Source organism: Homo sapiens, chromosome 13 (genome assembly GCF_000001405.40).
Source record: "Homo sapiens chromosome 13, GRCh38.p14 Primary Assembly".
Lineage (NCBI taxonomy): Eukaryota > Metazoa > Chordata > Mammalia > Primates > Hominidae > Homo > Homo sapiens.
In genome coordinates, this window is record NC_000013.11 from 28719520 (window position 1) to 28741147 (window position 21628).

The 21628-nt window shown below is 42.4% G+C and overlaps 1 pseudogene; it reads right to left on the minus strand.

Moving 5' to 3' along the window:
- On the minus strand, window positions 1349-4636 carry CYP51A1P2 (cytochrome P450 family 51 subfamily A member 1 pseudogene 2; annotated as a pseudogene).

Genomic DNA, 21628 nt, shown 5'->3' on the forward strand with positions numbered 1-21628 from the left:
AAACACTCAGCATGTATACACAACACAGCCCCTGGACATAGGAGGAGTTGTCAGTGCTCTCCAACACACCCACCAGGAACAACTTGTAGTAAAAGAATTGAGCTACTACTTCTTGAAGCCAGGAGAAATGCATGCATGAGGAACCGTGGGGGCATCTCAGTAAGAAGGTGTTAGAATTTACTATGGGCTTGCGTTATGTGATTTTGGGAAGAGTTCAAGAAAGCAAGGCCTTACTCTGGATTGGTTGCTGTCAGGAAATGGCAGTAATTCTATGATTGGGTATCTTAATAAGTCTTATTTAGGAGTCAAGACTAGACAGAGGCTAAAGCCATGAATGATAAAGAAGCAACAGTCACACATATTTGTCATTTTTGTGGTTTAGACAGTGCCTAAATTTTGTCCGTGTTCAGACAAAATTATGACGTGGTCTTGTTTTTGTCTTGATCATGGTTACAGAATGCTCTTGTCTGACTTTGGTGTTCCGTGAAATTGTTTTCATTCGACAGAACACCATGGTCCAGAAAAGTTCTTAGCAACACCAAGGCCCAGCTGATAGTTCCAGCACCTGGATGTCAGAGCTGCTTTCTCTTCCTCAGCACTCCTTAAATGACAGTTGTGTCACTGAATGCAGAGTTAAACGTCTTAGGTTTGAGTCCTAACTGATACTTAGTAGCTGGTAACCTTGGACTTGCCACTTAATCTTACTTCCCAGCTTCTTCAAATCAGCATTTATGAAGCACTTGTTATGAGTTTCAAACAATGGAGCATGGATATTGGAAAGAAGATAAACAAACATGAGTAAGATACAGTTTGCAAGGAAGACATAATATTTTAAGTTGCAGTACTTTGTACTAAGTACTATATTATTCTAAACGGCACTTAGAAGATGTCCTTTTTTTTTTTTTTTTTTTTTGAGGTGGAGTCTCGCTCTGTCACCCAGGCCGGAGTGCAGTTGCAGGATCTTGGCTCACTGCAACCTCCGCCTCCCGGATTCAAGCAATGATCCTGCCTCAGCCTCCTGAGTAGCTGGGGTTACAAGTGTGCGCCACCATGGCCGGCTAATTTTTGTATTTTTAGTAGAGACAGGGTTTCACCATGTTGACCAGGATGATCTTGAACTCCTGACCTCAGGGGACCTGCCCACCTCAGCCTCCCAAAGTGCTGGGATTACAGGCATGCGCCACCGTGCCCTGCTGAAAATGTCCTTTCTTATGGGGCAAAAATAATTAATGTCCAATATACTTCCACGCTTTGCATTCCTACTCTTCCACACGAAGAAGAAAGCCAGGTCTTCTTAATGAGTTCTGCTGCTGATCGCTATGGTGACAACAGTCATTTTTTTTTTGTATTTTTTCAAAGAGAATTTTAATGTGAAAAATTAGCAGAGTTTCTGCCTTCACAATTAGAGTTTAACATGAGTCTTCCAGTGTTTTAAAAAGAACTGTAATATACGTAAAGCAAAATATTTTGGCATCATCTAGTGAAAACAGACAATGTGGTATTTTTTCAGCCATCTCATATAGTTAGGCCCTGAGTTATAATTTGAGATAAGTGATTCCTAAACAGAATGTGCTTTACAGAATGTGACCAATTATATTACTCCCAAGGACCTTGTTTCAGATTATATTAAAACCAGAGTTCACTGATCTCACATTTTAAAAAGAAAAAAAGTTTGTTAACTGTTTTAATCAACATAAGTAGTAACAAACATCCCTAATTGGATTCTAGAGAGGAAGCAGGGAGGGCCAGGCATGTGGCTCATGCCTGTAATCCCAGCACTTTGGGAGGCCGAGGCGGGTGGATCACGAGGTCAGGAGTTCAAGACCAGCCTAGCCAAAAGAGTGAAACCCTGTCTCTACTAAAAATACAAAAATTAGCCAGGCGTGGTGGCAGGTGCCTGTAATCCCAACTACTCAGGAGGCTGATGTAGACAATTGCTTAAACCCGGGAGGCGGAGGATGCAGTGAGCTGAGATCGCGCCACTGCACTCCAGCCTGGGCGACAGAGCGAGACTCCATCTCAAAAAAAAAAAAAAAAAAAAAGAGAGAGAGAGGAAGCAGGGAACAACTGAGCCAAAACAAAATTATCCCCTAAGGACTTGACTTTGGACTTCCACATAAATGTGACCTTGAAGACCTAGATACATATTTATCAGGTAAATATGTAATTATTTCGTAATTAGATCAAGATACATGAGCAGTTTTTGGCATTAATAATTACATTATTTTTAGGAAATCTTATCAAATATGGTCCCGGATCTCTTAATTTCCTATATTCAGTGATTTTAGTTAAAATTCCAAAGGATATTTTTTTTCTACAACATCTCCATTTCTGAGTATCATCATACCAAAAGAATTAGTATTCTCTCATTCAAGGCTTTAGATGTTCAATTATTCCCTGCCCTTCCATCCTCACCCACACAATAATTGCCCAGATAAATAATAACCTGAGGTTTCCAAGTATCTCACCGGGATTTTTATTCTTTATACCTTGCAGGACTAGTCCAAGATTTGAATACCCTGAACTTATTTGGCAAGAGCTAAGAGTACTCTTAAAATTACTACCTGGAAATTATATTATTTAGAATCTGCCAATTACCTAGATCCTCCTGAACAATTGTTTTACTAATGAACTTCCTGAAAGCACATGTATAAGTATCATAGCTATTAGAAAATGTTTCAAATGCTATTATATTTGATAGAACCATTCAGTTAACAAAATACTAAATCATAAACTGGCTTTTAGAATTACACACTCAAAAAAAACAGTACACTACAAGAGTTGTTTTGTACACTTCATTCTCTTCGAATGCCTTTGTGGCTTACAGTGATGATCACATATATTGGTTCCTTGCAACCTTTTTCATTTTGATCTTCGTTTGTAATGGATAAGTGGGTTTTCAGGGGTGTGAATCATAGTTGTATAATTCACGATGGGAAAATATCCATCAATGAGATCAAATTCATATAAACGAAGCATAGTGGACCAAATTGTCTTAATTTGAACATAGGCAAAATTTTCCCCAATTCAACGATGACACCCAGCTCCAAATGGCACATAGGCAAACTTTTCCCCTGATGCTGGGTTATCCTGTAAGTAGCAATCAGGATTAAAGTCCAGGCGTTCTACCCATGAGTCTTTAGGTCTTTGATTGACAGTGGGAGAAACACACACCTGATGTCCTGGAGGAATGGTATACCCTACCACAGTCTGAGGAGTTCTGGCCATTCTCATCATGATCATTATAGGAGGTCTAAGTCTTAATGTTTCTTTTATACAGCGATCAAGTAAATTTAGATCCTTGAGTTGGTCATAAGTTAAAGGAGGCAGATTCTCTCCACAGACTGTTTTCTGTTCTAAATAACATTTTTCTTGAAGTGTTTTGTCTCTGGCCAAAAAGAAGTCCATCCAAGCACTAGTAGTTGAGGATGAATGCTGCCCTGCCAAGAGTAATCCAATAAGCATCCCTGCTACTTCATCATCAGTCAAAGGACGCCCATCCTTGTATGTAGCATCTAGTAAAGTTTGGAGAATGTCATCAATTTTTTCTTGAGACTGTCTGCGTTTCTGGATTGCCTTATAGAAAATATCCTTGATTTCCCAATGAGCTCTGTCCCTGCATCTGAAACTAGGCAAAGGCAGCCAACCTGGTAAGAGCCAGGCTGCATGGCTGAAACCTCCATCCAAATCTGCATACAGCTGTGCTACCTTTTCATTGAGTTGACTTCTGATTTCCTTTCCATGCAAACAGTGGCTAGCTGTTAAAATTATGAGCTCAGAAAGAGCTTCAAACACATTTTTTTCTCCACTTTCTCCCCAACTCTGAAAGTACTCCTTTGTTTCTTTTTCTTTTTTTTTTTTATTATACTTTAAGTTTTAGGGTACATGTGCACATTGTGCAGGTTAGTTACATATGTATACATGTGCCATGCTGGTGCGCTGCACCCACTAACTTGTCATCTAGCATTAGGTATATCTCCCAATGAAACATGCTGTTTAAAGTGGGCTTTGTTAAGGCCACTTTTTAACATTTTCTTCTGCTCCAAGAAAACTGGATTAGGCACATCGTATGCAACTCCCTTCCCAAACACAGGTGTCGTCAGGTGACTGTAGACATCTTCTGCATTCAGGTCTTCATTTTTACTATTAAAAAGCAGCGCAGCAGCATCACTCCCCAGAAGGTAAGTAAATGTCTTGCCTACCATGGTAAAACTAAATACAGGTCCATACTTCTCATATGCATTTCTAGAAATTCAACTGGACTTTTCCCAAATGCTATGGCATGCCCAGGGAATGGAACTGGGGAGAAAACGTATGGAGGACTTTTCGCCCCTGCGGGCAGCTGGACCAAGTGGCCGGCGGCCAGACGGAACAGGTAGACCAGGCTGAGGGTGAAGGTGCAGGCGATCAGCAGCATGGACAAGAGGTTGCCTCCTGTCACCTTCTCCATCGCCTGGCCCAGCACCGACCCACCCCGCCTGCAGCAAGCCCAGCAACATCATCCCCGCCGCTGCCGCCATTTCACTTCATTGGAGACACTGAAGGCCGAGGTCGCCACCACTCCTCCTAATCGACGGAGCGAGAGAAGCTGGCGGATGGTTGTCCACAGGCGGCTCCGGCCCCCAGGTCTCCTACTAAACGACAACAGTCATTATGGAAGCCTTTTTTTTTTTTCAAGTAATATTAAGTGCTTGAGTATGTATCAAAGAAGCCTTGACTGTTAATTGTCACTCTATTGGGCACTGTGGAGTAAAAGCAATTCTAAAACCAACTACATGGAAACCATCAAGACCTGTCACTCCCGTTTCTCCACAGCTATTGTTGCTCCTCACAGGTTCCCACTCCAGCCTTCTTCCTTCAAAGACCCTGAGAGAAGAAATAAAAAATAAAAGCAAGTGTGCAAGGAGCAGTGGCCATTCACCAGACGTGATCTCCCTGGCCGTGTTTCTGAAACGTAGATCAAGAGGTGTATTCTTCGGGAAAGGGGTCTCCAGGATTTTGAAATTTTATATTTTCATTTAAATGACCTATAAATTTTAATGTTAGCATATTATGAATTGTTTTGTAATCAAGTACTGACATTTTATTTGTGTTTATATTTGTATTTCTGCTTATGATCACATTGGCTGCAAGCAGCCGTACCTAAATGATGTCAGACTAATGAGAAAAGAAGTGGACTAAATATGTAAATGATACGCCCAAACTAAGTGAAGACCAAACAATGTCATATCATGCTGTTCAAGAGAAGTTTCCATCGTATTTCAATAAGAGGTATGGTTGGGAGACTGAAGTCATTGCCTTACACACAAATAGACATACTGAACTCAGAAGAACACATACTGTGCTGGGCAGTGCCATGGTCAAATGGCAAAAGCCAAAGTGGAATAGAGTAGCTATGAGATTTTGTTGGTTTCAAGAAGAAAGTGGCTTGTTTACTTCTGATCAAATCAGCAAAGTAAGATGTGATGAAAAGACCTCAATTATACCAATTTCTGCTTAGTAGATGATTGTCAAAATGGCTCTGATAAGAGTAATGTGATACAACTCTAAGCACAAATTGTGGAAGGGAAATATGATCTAATCATATGACCTTGGTTAATAAGTTTCCAAAATAGGCCTCAGTAGGTCTTATCTACTTGAGAATTTCATAATCTGATGTCAGCCTTGTCTTTCTTGACCTCTGTTGCTTTGGATACTGTGAAACAGATTCCTCCTTCTGGAAATCTTTTCTCCCTTTGGGTTCCATAACCTGATGGTCTTCCTGCTACCCTGAGAGCTCCGTCTCGGTTTCCTCTGTGAGCTTGCTTCTCAGATGGTGCTGTGCCTCAGGCCCTATCTCAGCTCCGACCTTTTCCCAGTCAATTTCATATACACTTATGACTCAGCTACCATAAATATGCTGACCATTTCCAAATCTCTTATCTCAAGCCCACCCTCTTCTCTTGAACTTGACACCCAGAACTTCCTTTTATTTGTATTAACAAAAGAAAAAAAAAACCCAAACCCCATAAAACTGTATACTTTAAATGTACAAAGCAGATCTCATCTTCCTCATACATCTGATACCCTCTTATAATCTTTGTTTCAGTCAGTGACATCACCTATCCAGTTAACAGATACGGAGACTTAGGACTCATCCCTGACTTTTTGGTCATTAAATGCATTGCAAATATTTTACATCATAAATATAACTAGTATTATCTATACCTTTTTCAGGTGTGTGGCTGTAAGGAAAGTACATCCCTGGTTTTTTAGCATTCAGACCGAACATCTCTTTTTTGGCTTGGCTAAGGTGATGAGCTCTGTCTTGCTATTGGTCTATTGCTGAGTGGCATTTGAAAGTTGTTGAAGAGGTGAACAAAATGCAAAGCGATCAAGGAGTTCCCTTGTAAATCAGAACTCCTTACCCTTTCCCTCTAAGGTCTCAAGTTATTACAACACTTCTGATGGCCTGGGATGGTCCTAAGAAGTCTCAGTTGTCAGAAATGTACAATAACAGCCCTTAAGGAGGAATCCACCGTGTTGGTGGTGACAGTGGTGGTGGAGTTGGTGGTGGTGTCTTATCCTGGGGGAGGGTCAGTGAGGAACAGAGTCATGTGATTGCATCACAACCTGGTCTACCACCTTGGACCGTGGGGTTTGTCAAGAGAAATGGCTGATTAACTGTAAATGCAACTATCTGTCACTAGAGTTGTAACCAGGAACCCAGTGTCCTATGGTGTGGAGTACCCATTGCCACAACCTTTATGCCTGGGAGCTGAACATCTTGTTTCTGGTACCAGCCTCACCAGAGCAGTGGTTGGAACCTTAGGCAGAGTGACTAGACTTCTCAGTTTCTTTTCTGCGTAACGATAGTAAACAGGACTACCTCATTTGGACTAAGTAAGCAGCTGGAGGATTTTACATTTCAAGGAAGGAAAAGCTCAGAGAATGAAGAAGGCATTTCTTACAAGCAGTAGGATGGAAGCTCTAATTTGATTTATCTGTGTACTGACTTAAATTTGGCTTATTTCCTATAGCAGCAGGTAAAAGCTCCTAGAACAGGGGATGGCAATTGGTGGGTATTCAATAATGTGTGGATTTGAATCTCATTCTTGCTTAATCAGACACACCTCATACTATCTTTGAGAAATTATAAATGACAAGCCGGCCACCACTCCAAACTGACATTTCCCCTGCAGAAGAGTCAGTCCAACCTTAACAGGCTTGGGAATAGCAGGAAGAAAGGGTTTAAAGCCAGCAAGTAAATTAAATACCCATGCATGTGACTTCACAATATAGCCCTTGTTTAGAAGGTTAGCCCACCTGTTTCCACCTCCAGCTCCTTACCCTTATCCTAAGCCACCACTGTTTCTCACTTGCATTCCTCACTGTTTCCTACCTGGGCAATACAACATGATCTTCTTCTGAAACCATCAATGGCTTCCCCATTGAATTCAGAGTAACACTCAACCTCCTCACTATGACCTGAAAGACCCCTAAGGATCTGGCCACATCTCTCCTGCAACCTCAGCCCGCCAAAATCCCTCCCACGTCAGGATTGCCACACTGCTCCCTCCCTTCCTTTAGGTGTAGCTGAAATGTCACCTTAAAGTATTCTCTGACTGTCACACCCAAAGCAGGAAAGTGCTATTCTCTAGCTCGATAACTTCTTGTTTGATTTTTTTTTTAACACTTCACATTCTATATTGTTTTATATTTTTGTATGTTTGCCTTTTTTGGTCATCTGTGCCCTGTACTACAATGAAGCTCTGTGCATGCAGGGACCATGGCTGACTCTTGTATGACTGTGTCATATCTAGAATTGGGGCTGGCATGCAGGAAATCTTAGTCAAATGGATGAAATGAGGTGGTTTTGTTCAGTACTCCCAAATTATGGAATTATACACCTAATCTACCCTTGGGAACCACAGAGAATAATTGTTTGATGCATTTGTTTTTTTAAGAAGCTGAGTTTATGACAATAAGCTCTGTCTGGCTGAATCACTTAAAATACATGTGTACCAGAACATTCAGCAAACTATCATGACAAACAATTTTGAAATATGATATGTAATAACAGAAATGGAAAAGGTTTTATTTATAAAACCAATCTAAAATGTGTCACTCCCAGACTAATTGTAATTCTATCTGAAATTTCATTCTCAACCAGAAAGAGGGACAAAAATGTCCAACCTCACTAGTAATCAAATAAACACATACCAGGATAACAATTAAGGTATAATCTTTCATGTTCAAAATGAGCAAATAGTTTGTTTTTAAGATAAAATTAGCTTAAATTACAGTAGTTTGTGCCTATAATCCCAACTACTTGGGAGGCTGAGGCAAGAGGATCGCTTAAGGCCAGGAGTTCCAGACTAGTCTGGGAAACATAGTGAGACCCCATCTCTCAAACAAAACAAAACAAAACTATATGTGTGTATATACATACATATATATGTGAACATATATATTCATTTGGCCAGCCTGAAGTAAAATGAACAAAATGTCATATTTTGCCAGTAAAAAGTGAATTGGTAAAACTTTTTTCAGAATCATAATTTAACAATATACACTAAAATCGTTATACATTGTCTGCTCAGCAAGTCTTACTGATGAAATAATAGAAATTTTCATAGCAATTTAGCTATTTAGATTTTTATCTGGTTGTTTGTAATTTGAAAAAAATCTAAATATATACCAAGATATAACTATAACTATATATATAAAAACCATGTGTTCTGTGACATGGAAAAAAAGAAGATATATATATATATATATATATATATATGATAATAGGGGAACAGTGCATACATATAGTTTTATGTTGAGAAAGGCCATTATATTATTTTCGTAGAATATTTAATTATAAGGAAAAATTTTCAGGTCATGATATTGAGTGAAAAAAAGGCAACAAAACATATTTGGCATAGCACATCCTAATTTTTAAAAAATAAATACATGTATAAATGCATAGAAAAAAGCCTATTAAGTAATATATCAAATGGTACTAACAATTGTCTCTGAGGGGTAGGATTATTAACAATTTTTGTTTGCATATTAAATACCATAGACAGTATGACTTTCTATATTGTCCACATTTTTAGTAATGAATATGTATTAATTTATAACCAGAAAAAGTTTAACCAAAAAGAAATGAGAGGAAAACAATAGAACAATTACATGCAAAGTCATTGCTATTTGTTAAAAAGCTTTAGTTTCCTAAAACCTAGAACTTCTCAAAGGTTGATATTTTCCAAGTGGTTCTACAAGCTTTAACGTTGAATCAGTAACCACATGGCAAAGTGACCTTCTGGGACTGCCATAGGTAGCCCAAGATAAGAGGATAGTGGATGTTAACTACTCACTAGCAGTCAAGAGTCCTTTATCTAGAAAAGTAGAGTCAAGAATGGAGAAATAACTGTTCTGAAGTACAGGGAGGAACTGAGGGGAGCTTTTGTACTGCCTGGATCAATCTATTTAAAACCAGACTCAGAAATCAGTAAGACTCACGGCAAGTGGAAATCTGCTAGTCCAGCCCTCTCACCCTACCCATAAGAAAACACAAGCCACAGGTGAAATGACTGTGTTATCCTCCACGGAACACATTGCCCTGACCTAGGCCTGTGCCCTAGGATGGAGTCCTCCCTGGAACCCAGGCCCTGCTACCACCCATCTGTCCACCTTTGTTTTCCTAACAGAAAGTGGAGTTTTGTTTGTTTGTTTGTTTGTTTTTGAGACGGAGTTTCACTCTTGTTGCCCAGGCTGGAGTGCAATGGAGCGATCTCGGCTCACCACAACTTCTGCCTCCCAGGTTCAAGCAATTCTCCTGTCTCAGTCTCCCAAATAGCTGGGATTACAGGCATGCGCCACCACACCCAGCTAATTTTATATTTTTAGTAGAGATGGGGTTTCTCCATGTTGGTCAGGCTGGTCTCAAACTCCCAGCCGCCTCAGGTGATCTGCCCACCTCGGCCTCCCCAAGTGCTGGGATTACAGGCGTGACCCGCCGCACCCAGCCAGAAAGTGGAGTTTTTAAGGAGCAGTTTAAGGAGGCAGTTAAGAAGCTTAAGAAGTTTTGAGAAAGAGGAGCTCAGATTGCTGCTCATGCTGCAGGAAGGTAAACTGCCCTCTCTTATCTTTCCACTCCTACAGCTGCTCCCATGTTACTCAGTTTTTACCACTGGTGTCCTCGAGGTCACTGCACTGCCCAGGGTTATGAAAACAGGACAGTCACCAGCTCAGGGAGGGAGAACTGCGCCCTTGGTTATCTTTAAATTAGGGGAGATGGAATTTGTCTGGTCAGCATTCATTCCAATTCTGATCAATTATGGTTCAGTTTATTTCATTCTCCCTGCAGCCCTGATGATAGATAGGTTTGCAATATGCAGGAAAGCTGTAGGTAATCAGAGTGGAATCTATAAGTATTTCCTGCCATGGAACTTGTAAGAAAAGGAAAAAAAAAGAAAAAGAATCTGCAAGTATTCAGAACACAACTAAGCAAAACGCTCCAATTTTTCTTTTCTTTTTAAAAATTATTTTATTTGGCCAGGCATGATGGCTCATGCCTGTAATCCCAGCACTTTGGGAGGCCGAGGCGAGTGGATCACGAGGTCAGGAGATCGAGACCATCCTGGCTAACATGGTGAAACCCCGTCTCTACTAAAAATACAAAAAATTAGCCAGGTGTGGTGGCGGCTACCTATAGTCCCAGCTACTCAGCAGGCTGAGGCAGGAGAATGGCGTGAACCCGGGAGGCGGAGCTGGCAATGAGCTGAGATGGCGCCACTGCACTCCAGCCTGGGTGACAGAGTGAGACTCCGTCTCAAAAAAAAAAAATATTTTATTTATTTATTTCATTCGTTTTAAAATAAATAGAGACAAGATCTCACTATGTCGTCCAGGCTGGTTTCAAATTCCTGAGCCCAAGTGATTCTCCTGCCTGGGCCTCCTAAAGTGCTAGGATTACAGGCGTGAACCACGACACCTGGCTGTCTTTTTCTTTTAAAAAAAATTTCCTTCCCCAAATAATCTGCTATCCCACAGTATTCCCTATCTAGTGTTCCACAAGCTGTGGCTATGATGGATTTTCCTGAAGACTCGAGAGTCAGTTTCCTAGGGCTGCGGTAACAAAGTACCACAAGCTGGGTGACCTACACAGCAGAAATGTATTCCCTTCAGTTCTGCAGGCCAGAAGACAGGAATCAAGTGTCACCAGGGTTGGTTCCTTCTGGAGAGTCTGAGGGAGAATCTATTCCATGGGCTTCTCTTAGCTTCTGGTGGCTGCTGGCGATCCTTGACATCCTCTGGCTTGTAGCATCACTCCAATCTCTGCCTCCATCATCATAGGCTATTCTCTCTGTGTGTCTGGGTCTCGGTGCCCCTCTTATAAAGACACCAGTCATATTGGATTGGGGCCCACTCCAATCCAATGAGGTCCAGTATGACCTCATCTTCACTCATTATATCCTGTAATGACACTATTTTGCAAATTTTTCAAATGAGGTCATATTCTAAGATACTGGGAGTTAGGACTTCATCATACTTTTTTAAGGACCATGATTCAACCATAATACCCTACATCTTCTATATCTGCTTTCTTTCTTATTTGATGGTTTACTAAGGGCAGGGAAGCAGGAGTGTTCCGCCCAGGTACAGACAACAAGAGGCAATTGTCTGTAAAGGATGTATAAACGTAATAAAAATGACTAAAGGATCCTCTGCTTTTTATTATCTACTTGGGCCAGCAGTTCTAAACAACATCTGTGAATAAAATAAGCACCCTCACCAAATCTGTTAGTTCTAAATAATTGCTGTGTGCGGTAGTTTAAAAATATATATAGAAATTTTTCCATACTCTTCCCTTCCAATTCCACTCTCTTGAATGTGGGCTGGACTTAATATTTTTCTTTGGTAAAAATTTATTATTTTTATTAATTGCTTTAAACTCAAGAAGGAATCAAGCAAACAAGCATAAAATTAAGTATAACAATAAAATTATTTTTAGTAATTACTGAAAATAGTTTTGTTGTTTACAGCCAAGGAGGCGTGGAAGAACGATTTGGTATGGTTGTCAAATATGCTACGCATTATGCCACTGCTTTTACAGCATTGAAACTTGAGACTCAGAAAGAATTCTCTGAGACAGTATAAAATTTCTAGTATCTAAGGAAGACCACCACATTTTCTTCATCATGACTCTTTCTGATGTCAGAGAGTTAAGATCATCTAAAGACTGAAATTATATCCCTCCTTTGGCTGATGAAAAATTTCTTGAGTACCAAAGATTTCTTGAGTACCAACTATGCGCTTAGAACACATCTATGGACAAAACAGACTTCTGCCTCGTGAGGGTACCTTCTAGGGAACGGAGACAGCACACCAAAAGGTTAGAAGTAGCTGAGCAGGTGGCTCACACCTGTAATCCCAGAGACTTTGGAGGCTGAAGTGGGAGGATTGCCTGAGGCCAGGAGTTTGACACCAGCCTGGGCAAAATAGTGAGACCCCATCTCTTAAGAAAAAAAAAAAAAAGGTTAGGGGAAGAAAAAGTCAAAAAAGGACCTGAAGGATGGGCATGCTGAGGTGGGTTGGAGTGGGCGGGCTGTAGGATTACGCAGTTGACTAGGGCAGCTCTCACTGAGGAGAGAAGCTTGAGCAGAGACTTGCCGGAAGCCAGGCAGTTTGCCATCCAGATAGCTGGGAAAGCATTCCAGGAAACAGACCAGTGAAGGTATGGCCTGTGTGGATGTGTACCTAGCATGCTGGAGGAAAGGCAAGGAAACCAATGAGGGCAGGAAGGAGAGGGGAGACACTGCCCAGGAAGAGGGCATAAGCTTGGATGAGGCAGCTCTCTTCCATGGGGGAGTGCCTGTAGACCAACTCAGCTGAGAGCCCTAAGGCCCACACTCCCAGCAGCTGGGAAATGAGGCTTCAGCCCTGAAAAAAGTCTCAGGGCACCACTCCCAGCATCCCCTACAGAGCTGGATTTATAGGAGTCATTCCATTTGGATAGGGAATTAAAGGAGTGTCCAGGTTTGGAAGAGAAATTATATTTAAGAGGGGAGCAGGAGCGGTAGGAGCGGTGGCTCATGTCTGTAATCCCAGCACTTTGGGAGAGCGAGGCGGGCAGATTGTTTGAGGCCAGGAGTTCGAGACCCGCCTGGAGTAACATGGTGAAACCCAATCTCTCTAAAAAAAAAAAAAAAAGAAAAAAAATTAGCCAGGCATGGTGCATGTGCCTGTAGTCCCAGTTACTCGCAAGGCTAAGATGGGAGGACCATCTGAGGCCGGGGAGGTCAAGGCTGCAGCGAGCCGAGATTGCGCCACTGCACTTCAGCCTGGGTGTCAGAGTGAAATCCTGTCTCAAAAAAAAGAGAGAGGTCACCCTCCTCCTCATCTATATCCTATAATTTCTTGCACAGCCTATTCGTTATCCTTAACGCAACTATTTAATTATTCTACACATTTCCTGGGAGTGGAGGGTACACCCCCGGGAAAGCCATTGTTGGGTGTGGAGTTAAGATGCCCTTGGGGTCCCTGCGCCTAGCTCAGGGCTATGCCGACCATTCTGGGCCCTGCATTTAATGTGCCATCAGTTTCTACTCTCGTTGTCATTGACTTTTCTGTAGCCTCCTTTAATTTAAACAAACAAACAAAAAAGCCAGGCATGGTGGCTCACGCCTGTAATCCCACCACTATGGGAGGCCGAGGCGGGTGGATCACGAGGTCAGGAGATCGAGACCATCCTGGCTAACACGGTGAAACCCCATCTCTACTAAAAATATGAAAAATTAGCCAGGCGTGGTGGCGGGCGCCTGTAATCCCAGCTACTCAGGAGGCTGAGGCAGGAGAATGGCGTGAATCTGGGAGGCGGAGCTTGCAGTGAGCCGAGATGGTGCCACTGCACTCCAGCCTGGGCGATAGAGTGAGACTCCATCTCAAAAAAAAAAAAGCATTTTTTTTTTTGAGACAAGGTCTTACGCTGTCACCCAGGCTGGAGCGCAGTAGTGTGAACATGGCTCTCTGCAGCCTTGACCTCCCAGGCTCAAGCAATTCTCCCACCTCAGCCTCCCCAGGGACTGGGACTATAGGCACATGCCACCACCATGCCTGGTCAATTTGTGTATTTTTTGTAAAGACAGGGGTCTCACCATCTTGCCCAGTCTGGCCTTGAACTCCTGGACTCAAGTAATCCCCTCACCTTGGCCTCCAAAGGTGCTGGGATTATAGTTGTAAGCCACCGCACCCGGCCTGTAACCTCCTTTTATTACTACAGATCAATTCTGCTTTGGAATTCAGTATTCTTGCTTAACCCTGCCTCCACCCACCTCTCCTTCTACTTTTACCTGCTATACATGATCAATCCCATATACCAGACTTACCAACTGGGAAAGTACTGTTCTCCAGTGAATTAAGCACTGTTTGCCAGGGATTCTAGGTTTGAGGAAAAAGTAAATTTGAACACTTCTAATAACTCATCCAACTCCAAAATGTTATGGTATTAAGTCCTGAAAATGACACTAGGTAATGTAACATACAGTTATGGACTGAATTGTTTCCCAAAATGCACTGGTTTAAGAGCTTACCTCAAATGTGACAGAAATACTTGGAGAAGGGCCTTTAAAGAGGTAACTAAGATTAAATGAGGTCTTTAGAGTGGGTCCTAATTCGAGAGGACTGGGTGTTCTCATAAGAAGAGGAAGGCAGGCTGGCATGTTGGCTCACACCCGTAATCCCAGCACTTTGGGAAGCCAAGGCAGGCAGATCACTTGAGGTCAGGAGTTTGAGCACAGCCTGGCCAACATATATGAAACCCCATCTCTACTAAACATACAAAAATTAGCTAGGTGTAGTAGTATACGCCTGTAGTCCCAGCTACTTGGGAGGCTGAGGCGCAAGAATCTCTTGAACCCGGGAGGTGGAGGTTTCAGTGAGCCGAGATTGTGCCACTGCACTCCAGCCTGGGTGACAGAGCAAGACTCTGTTTCAAAAACAAAACAAAACGAACGAACAAACAAGAAAAACAAAAGAAAAAAAAGGGAAGAGACACCAGGGGCTCGTGTGCACAGAGGGAAAGAGGACAGTGAACAGACAAGACATCCCTGCAAGTCAAAGTAGACATTTGCAAGCCTCAGCAGAAATCAAACCTACTGACACCTTGATCTTGAACTTTCAGCCTCCAGGAGTATGAGAAAATAACTCCAAAGGGCCATCATGGCCCCAGAGCTCCCTGGAGGCCCCCTGAGGCCTTGGTTGTTGCTGCTTCTCCTGTGGCCTTCACTCCTCTCAGGCGTCCACCCCAGGGCCTCCTCAGTGCACTTCCTGTGCCCGTAACTCCATCTTGGAGTGGGCTTCTGGGCTTCCTAGGAACCAGACCTATGACACGCCCTCTACCTTTCCATATTTCTCTTCCGGGGAAGAACATTTTGACAGCATATCAAGAAGGTGCCTCTTACTATTACAGCTTCTTTGAAGTACAAAACTTAAAAAGTGACTCATACTGGAGGGTATTTGGGTGGAGGTTAAGGGGTCTGAATAGACGTTTTCATAGGCCCTTTTTATAGGACTTGCCTGTTCTAACTCACTGTCACCTGATAGTTCTTCCTTAAATAGTCAGAGGGCTTAGAGGCTCAAATAAAAGCAAAAATTACATGTCATGTGCCCAATTCTGTTGTTCTCAGGCCAAATTTAGCTTCTTTCCCAAGCTTCCAGAAGCCCCAAACAGTTTCACTTTCAACCTGCTTACCTTTCTTGTACAAACTAAGAAAAGATTTGGGGTCATCACAATTTTCATTTCATTGCAGAAATGAAAATGACAATGGACTGAATTTTTTTCTTTTTCTTTTTTCTTAAAGTAGAGACAAGGTCTTGCAATGTTGCCCAGGCTGGTCTCAAACTCCTGGCCTTGAGTGATCCTCCTGCCTCAGCTTTCAAAAGTGTTGGGATTACAGGCATGAGCCAATGGAGTGAATTTCATTGATAATTTACTCTTTACCGAGCATCTATTCTCTGCTGGATACTCTACCATGAAATACAAAAAAAGGTAGACGAAAAATCCTTGCTCTAAAGTGATTGCAAAACAGACAGGTGAATTATATTAAACAGAAACTTGTCATTGTCACTGGAGACATGCGCAGAGGGAGGCCATTGGCCATTTTAGAGAGGACCTGATGATGGCAGCCTTGCTTCTGGAAATCAAAGTGAAGTCCAGGTCTTGTGACCCAGGGGAACGTGAGCCATGGGAATCTCTCATCATTGACATCAGATAAGGACCTGTAATCATTTGTTCTGACTCTGCAAGACTTAGCCTTGAGTGAAACGCAGGAGAAGGCTGCATCTCCAGCTGCCTTGGAGCGAGGTTTCCCACACCAATCTTAGTGTGGACTGTGGGGCGGAAACCTCTTACAAATTGAAAAAGTCTTTTGAGCTCTTCAGAAACAGATATGGCGTAAACATAAAGACTATGTTTGTGATATTCATACAAAATGGAGTAACACAACTCCCAGTTGTTCCATTTGTACCAGCAACTGCTATTATTCACGGAACCTATAGCCTCAAAAAAATGTTAGTATATTTATGTCTGTCTCGTTTCCTCTAGGAGTCCTATGTCCTTAAAAAAAAATCACATTGAGCCAAATATGTAACTTAGGTAATGAGTACAGGAAGCGCTCAAAGATTTAGAAGAAAACCTCCTCAAAACCACATAGAGGAAAAACACCAAGATTTAGCTGCAGAATCCATCTCCTGCCTTCTGTCAGCTCCTAGGGGGACCACAGCTCAGCAGCATACATTGTGTCTCTACTCTTCTCTGGGAGTGTCATCTACAGTGAAATGTCAAAGGAGAATTAAGCATCAGGCAGAGATTTATATGAAGCCTAATACAAGACCATATCTTGTACTTGGTATGAATTTTGAGACAGTTCTGAAGCCAAAACTCTGGAGGCTGTCACTGGGCGATGCCAGTTTGCATAAACCTACCATCACTTTCTCTTGTTTTTGTCAAGGGTTACGGCTTTAGGGTATGGGGATGTTCTAGAAGTCCACTGGGGCTTCTTACTAGCACTAAGTGTGATTTGGGCTGAGTTGGGCTACATGCTTGGAAGTCAACTTAAAACTTAAAGAGATCCCACAGAGACTATAAATTAGCCTTTCACTTTAGGATTCCCTAAAGTAACTACAATTCTGGCATGGGATTTGAAGTATGAACTAGATTTGTCCAGCAAACTCAAGACTGGCTGATTGGTTATGTATGAGCAGGTTCAGAACCCTCCTTTGGCATGCTGCATTGACTTAGATGCCTTTAATCCACTTGCACTGCTTTACAAGTCAACACAAACCTTCCCTAGTATTCCCTAGGTAGTGTCTGGATCTTTGTAATGTACTCGACATACACCTTTGACAATTTTATACTCTGTTGAAAATAATTTCAAAATACATCCAATTCTTTTTCATGACTTACATTTGTCTGTATGTCCTTTGTTATTAAAAGTTATTTTCAGCCGGGAAGGTGGCTCACGCCTGTAATCCGAGCACTTTGGGAGGCTGAGGCAGGCGGATCACGAGGTCAGGAGATCGAGACCATCCTGGCTAACACGGTGAAACCCCGTCTCTACTAAAAAAATACAAAAATTATCAGGGCATGGTGGCGGGTGCCTGTAGTCCCAGCTACTCGGGAGGCTCAGGCAGGAGAATTGCTTGAACCCAGGGGGCGGAGCTTGCAGTGAGCCGAGATGGTGCCACTGCACTCCAGCCTGGGAGACAGAGCAAGACTCCGTCTCAAAAAAAAAAAAAAAGTTTCTTTCTTTCTTTCTTTCTTTCTTTCTTTCTTTCTTTCTTTCTTTCTTTCTTTCTTTTCTTTTCTTTTCTTTTCTTTTTTTTTTTTTTTTTGAGACAATTTTGCTCTTGTTGCCAGGCTGGAGTGCAATGGCGCCATCTTGGCTCACTACAACCTCCATCTCCTGGGTTCAAGCGATTCTCCTGCCTCAGCCTCCCGAGTAGCTAAAATTACAGATGCCTGCCACCGCACCTGGCCAATTTTTTGTATTTTTAATAGAAACGGGGTTTCACCGTGTTGGCCAGGCTGGTCTCGAACTCCTGACCTCAGGTGATCCTGCCTCGGCCTCCCAAAGTGCTCATTACAGACATGAGCCACTGCCTAGCCTATTTTTTTTCTTTTAAAAAATGTTTATTTGTTTGAAAGTCATTCAAGAAGTGATTTTAATTTTTTTTGGAAGGTGGGTACTTTTTAACATCTAGGGGAAAGTAGACTTTTCTGCACTTTGTAGTAAATTCTGTGAGAAGGTATGAGTGCAAGCCATTCATTAAATGATGCCTAATGAAAATAGAGGCTAGGCTAGGCACAGTGGCTCACACCTACAATCCCAGCACTTTGGGAGGCCAAGGCTGGAGGACCGCTTGAAGCCAGGAGTTCTGAGACCAGCTGGACAACATAACAAGATCTTGTCTCTACAAAATTTTTTTTAAAAAATTAGCCTGGCATGGTGGCATGCACCTGTAATCCCGGCGACTTGGAAGGCTGAGGCGGGAAGACTGCTTGAGCCCAAAAGCTCAAGGTTGCAGTGAGCTGTGATTGTGCCACTGCACTCCACCTCAGGTGAAGGAGCTCATCAATTGACATTCATGTCCCTATACTATAGTTTTCTTTGAAATTTACAATTTCATGTACATACACATATGCTCATCAATTTATACATGTCTCCACATACACAATGTTAACACTACATCTTTCGTATATATACACATACATATATTTAATAACTACATCTTTTTTGTTTTTTGAGATGGAGTCTTGCCCTGTCACCCAGGCTGGAGTGAAACGGCGTGATCTTGGCTCACTGCAACCTCTGCCTCCCAGGTTCAAACGATTCTCCTGCCTCAGCCTCTTGCGTAGCTGGGATTACAGATGCGTCCCTCCATGCCAGCTAATTTTTGTATTTTTAGTATAGATGGGGTTTCACCATGTTGGCCAGGCTGGTCTCAGACTCCTGACCTCGTGATCCACCCGCCTCAGCCTCCCAAAGTGCTGGGATTACAGGCGTGAGCCACTGTGCCCGGTCACAGCTACATCTTTTATATATGCATATTTATCTGGTTCTACATGTGTATTTATATAATGTCTATTTACATCTATAAAATCAAATGATGATTGAGAATAATCGTGTTTTTGTTTTGTTTTGTTTTGGTTTTTTTGGTAGAGACGGGGTCTCGCTCTGTCACCCATGCTTGTCTTTAATTCCTGGCCTCAAGCGATCCCCCCACCTGGCCTTCTCAAAGTGCTGGGATTACAAGTGTGAACAATTGCACCCAGCCAGACATCGTTTAATGTTGAATTTGAAGTGATCTGTTTCCTTAATTGCTAGTTTTAAGCTACATTAAACAAACTGGGTAACTACTTGTGTGAGCTCCTTGGGACAATCACTTCTCCAAAATCTACTTCTCCCCTTAGACCTTGGGATTTTCTTAACCATCCCAGAATAGGGATCTCTATCCTGCTGAGAGGAGAAGCTACTTTTCACTTTCTAAAGCCTTGTGCACTCTCAAAGTAAAAAGAGAGAGGTGATAGAGAAAATCTTGAGGTGCTTGGGATCTCTGACAACTATGCCACCTCCTCGCTGGGAATCTGCAAACTGAGTGGAAAGTAAAAGGGAGAAGGGGTAGAGCTGTGGTGGCGGCTGCTATTCACCAGGGCCAGGGTCCCCTGAGGGCTGGGCTCCAGCTTGGGCATGCAGTGGTGTACTCAGAGTATTTAACACCAGGTGTTTTCTACACACAAAATTACTTCCACTACTGGTCATGTAATAATCAGTAATAATCATTATTCTCTCAATTTAAAATGATACATTTTAATTTTAGAGATATTATTTAGTAAAATATTTCAGGTATAAACTAAAATTGCAATTGCCAAACCAAAAAATCACACTTCATAGGTGGCACTCAGTTTCACTCTTTTACATTTTAAGCACACAAAAAGTTCCAGCTGGGTGAGGTGGCTCACACCCGTAATGCCAGCACTTTGGGAGGCTGAGGTGGGAGGATTGCTTGAGGCCAGGAATTCAAGGCCAGACTTGACAGCGTAGTGAGATCCTATCTCTACAATTTTTTTTTTTTCCTAAAGCCAAGCATAATGGTACATACCTGTAGTCCCAGATACTGAGGAGGCTGAGGTGGGAGAATCACTTCAGCTCAGGAGGTCAAGGCTGCAGTGAGTTATGATCATGTCATTGCACTCCAGCCGGGGTGACAGAGTGAAACTCTGTTTCAAAAAAAAAAAAAATTCCAACTGTGTTAGGGTTCTCTAGAGGGACAGAACTAACAGAATAGATGTATGTATAAAGGAGAGTTTATTAAGGAATATTGACTCCCATGATTACAAGGTGAGGTCCCACAATAGGCAGTCTGCAAGCTAAGGAGCATGAAGCCAGTCCAAGTCCCACAGTTGAAGAACTTGGAGTCCGATGTTTGAGGGCAGGAAGCATCCAGCATGGGAGAAAGATATAGGCTAGGAGGCTAAGCCAGTCTAGTCCTTCCACGTTCTTTCGCCTGCTTTTATTCTGGCTGTACTGGCAGCTGATTAGGCTGTGCCCACCCAGACTGAGGGTGGGTCTGCCTTTCCCAGCCCATTGACTCAAATGTTAATCTCCTTTGGCAACACCCACACATACACACCCAGGATCAATACTTTGCATCCTTCAATCCAATCAGGTTGACACTCAATATTAACCATCACACAAGTCATCACATAAAATGATAAAATCAAAGTATTGCAAGTTCTGCTTCTTCATCTTCACAATCACTGCACTCTCCTCATTTATTTCAAATCTGCCTTAGTCTCACTCTATGGCCCAGGCTGGAGTGCAGGGGCACCATTTTGGCTCCCTGCAACCTCCACCTCCCAGGTTCAAGGGATTGTCGTGTCTCAGCCTCCCGAGTAGCTGGGATTACAGGCACCCGCCACCATGCCTGGCTAATTTTTGTATTTTTAGTAGAGACGGGGTTTCACCATGTTGGCCAGGCAGGTCTCAAACTCCTGACCTCAAGAGATCCACCTGCCTTGGCCTCCCAAAGTGCTGGGATTACAGGCGTGAGCCACTGCACCCAGCATTTTAAACAGAGTAGGAGATGGTACCACAGGGTTGGAGCCAGGTAATGGGCTGGAAGCAAACTTGAGTGATTCCAAAGTGTTACCAATTTATTCTGAAAACACCTTTCTGTGGATGAGTCCTGGTAAGCCAGAATCACTGAGGATTCTCCAGAGTAACTTCTGTAAGTGTAAGACGATGATTATGAGAGAATAAGTAATTCAAGTGTGTTAATTGGAAACTTACATATGTACTAGTAAAACTCACCAATAACTGCAGCAATTGTTTAGAACTTACACCACAAAAAGATTTCTCAGGAAGGTGCATTTTGTGTAGAATCGCTAGTACCATTGGTTTTACGATTTTTTTGTATGTGTGTCTACTTGTGATGCATCCCCTGTTGCCTACACGTGGCTCCCTCTCCCACTGTTCACTCTCTTCCTCAGGGAGTGGGAATCTGGACTTGGAAGATATGGACGTAGTGTTGGTGTATGACCTTGAGAAATTGACCAGTATTGTGGTTGCTGACTTCTTAGTAAAATGGAAATGAT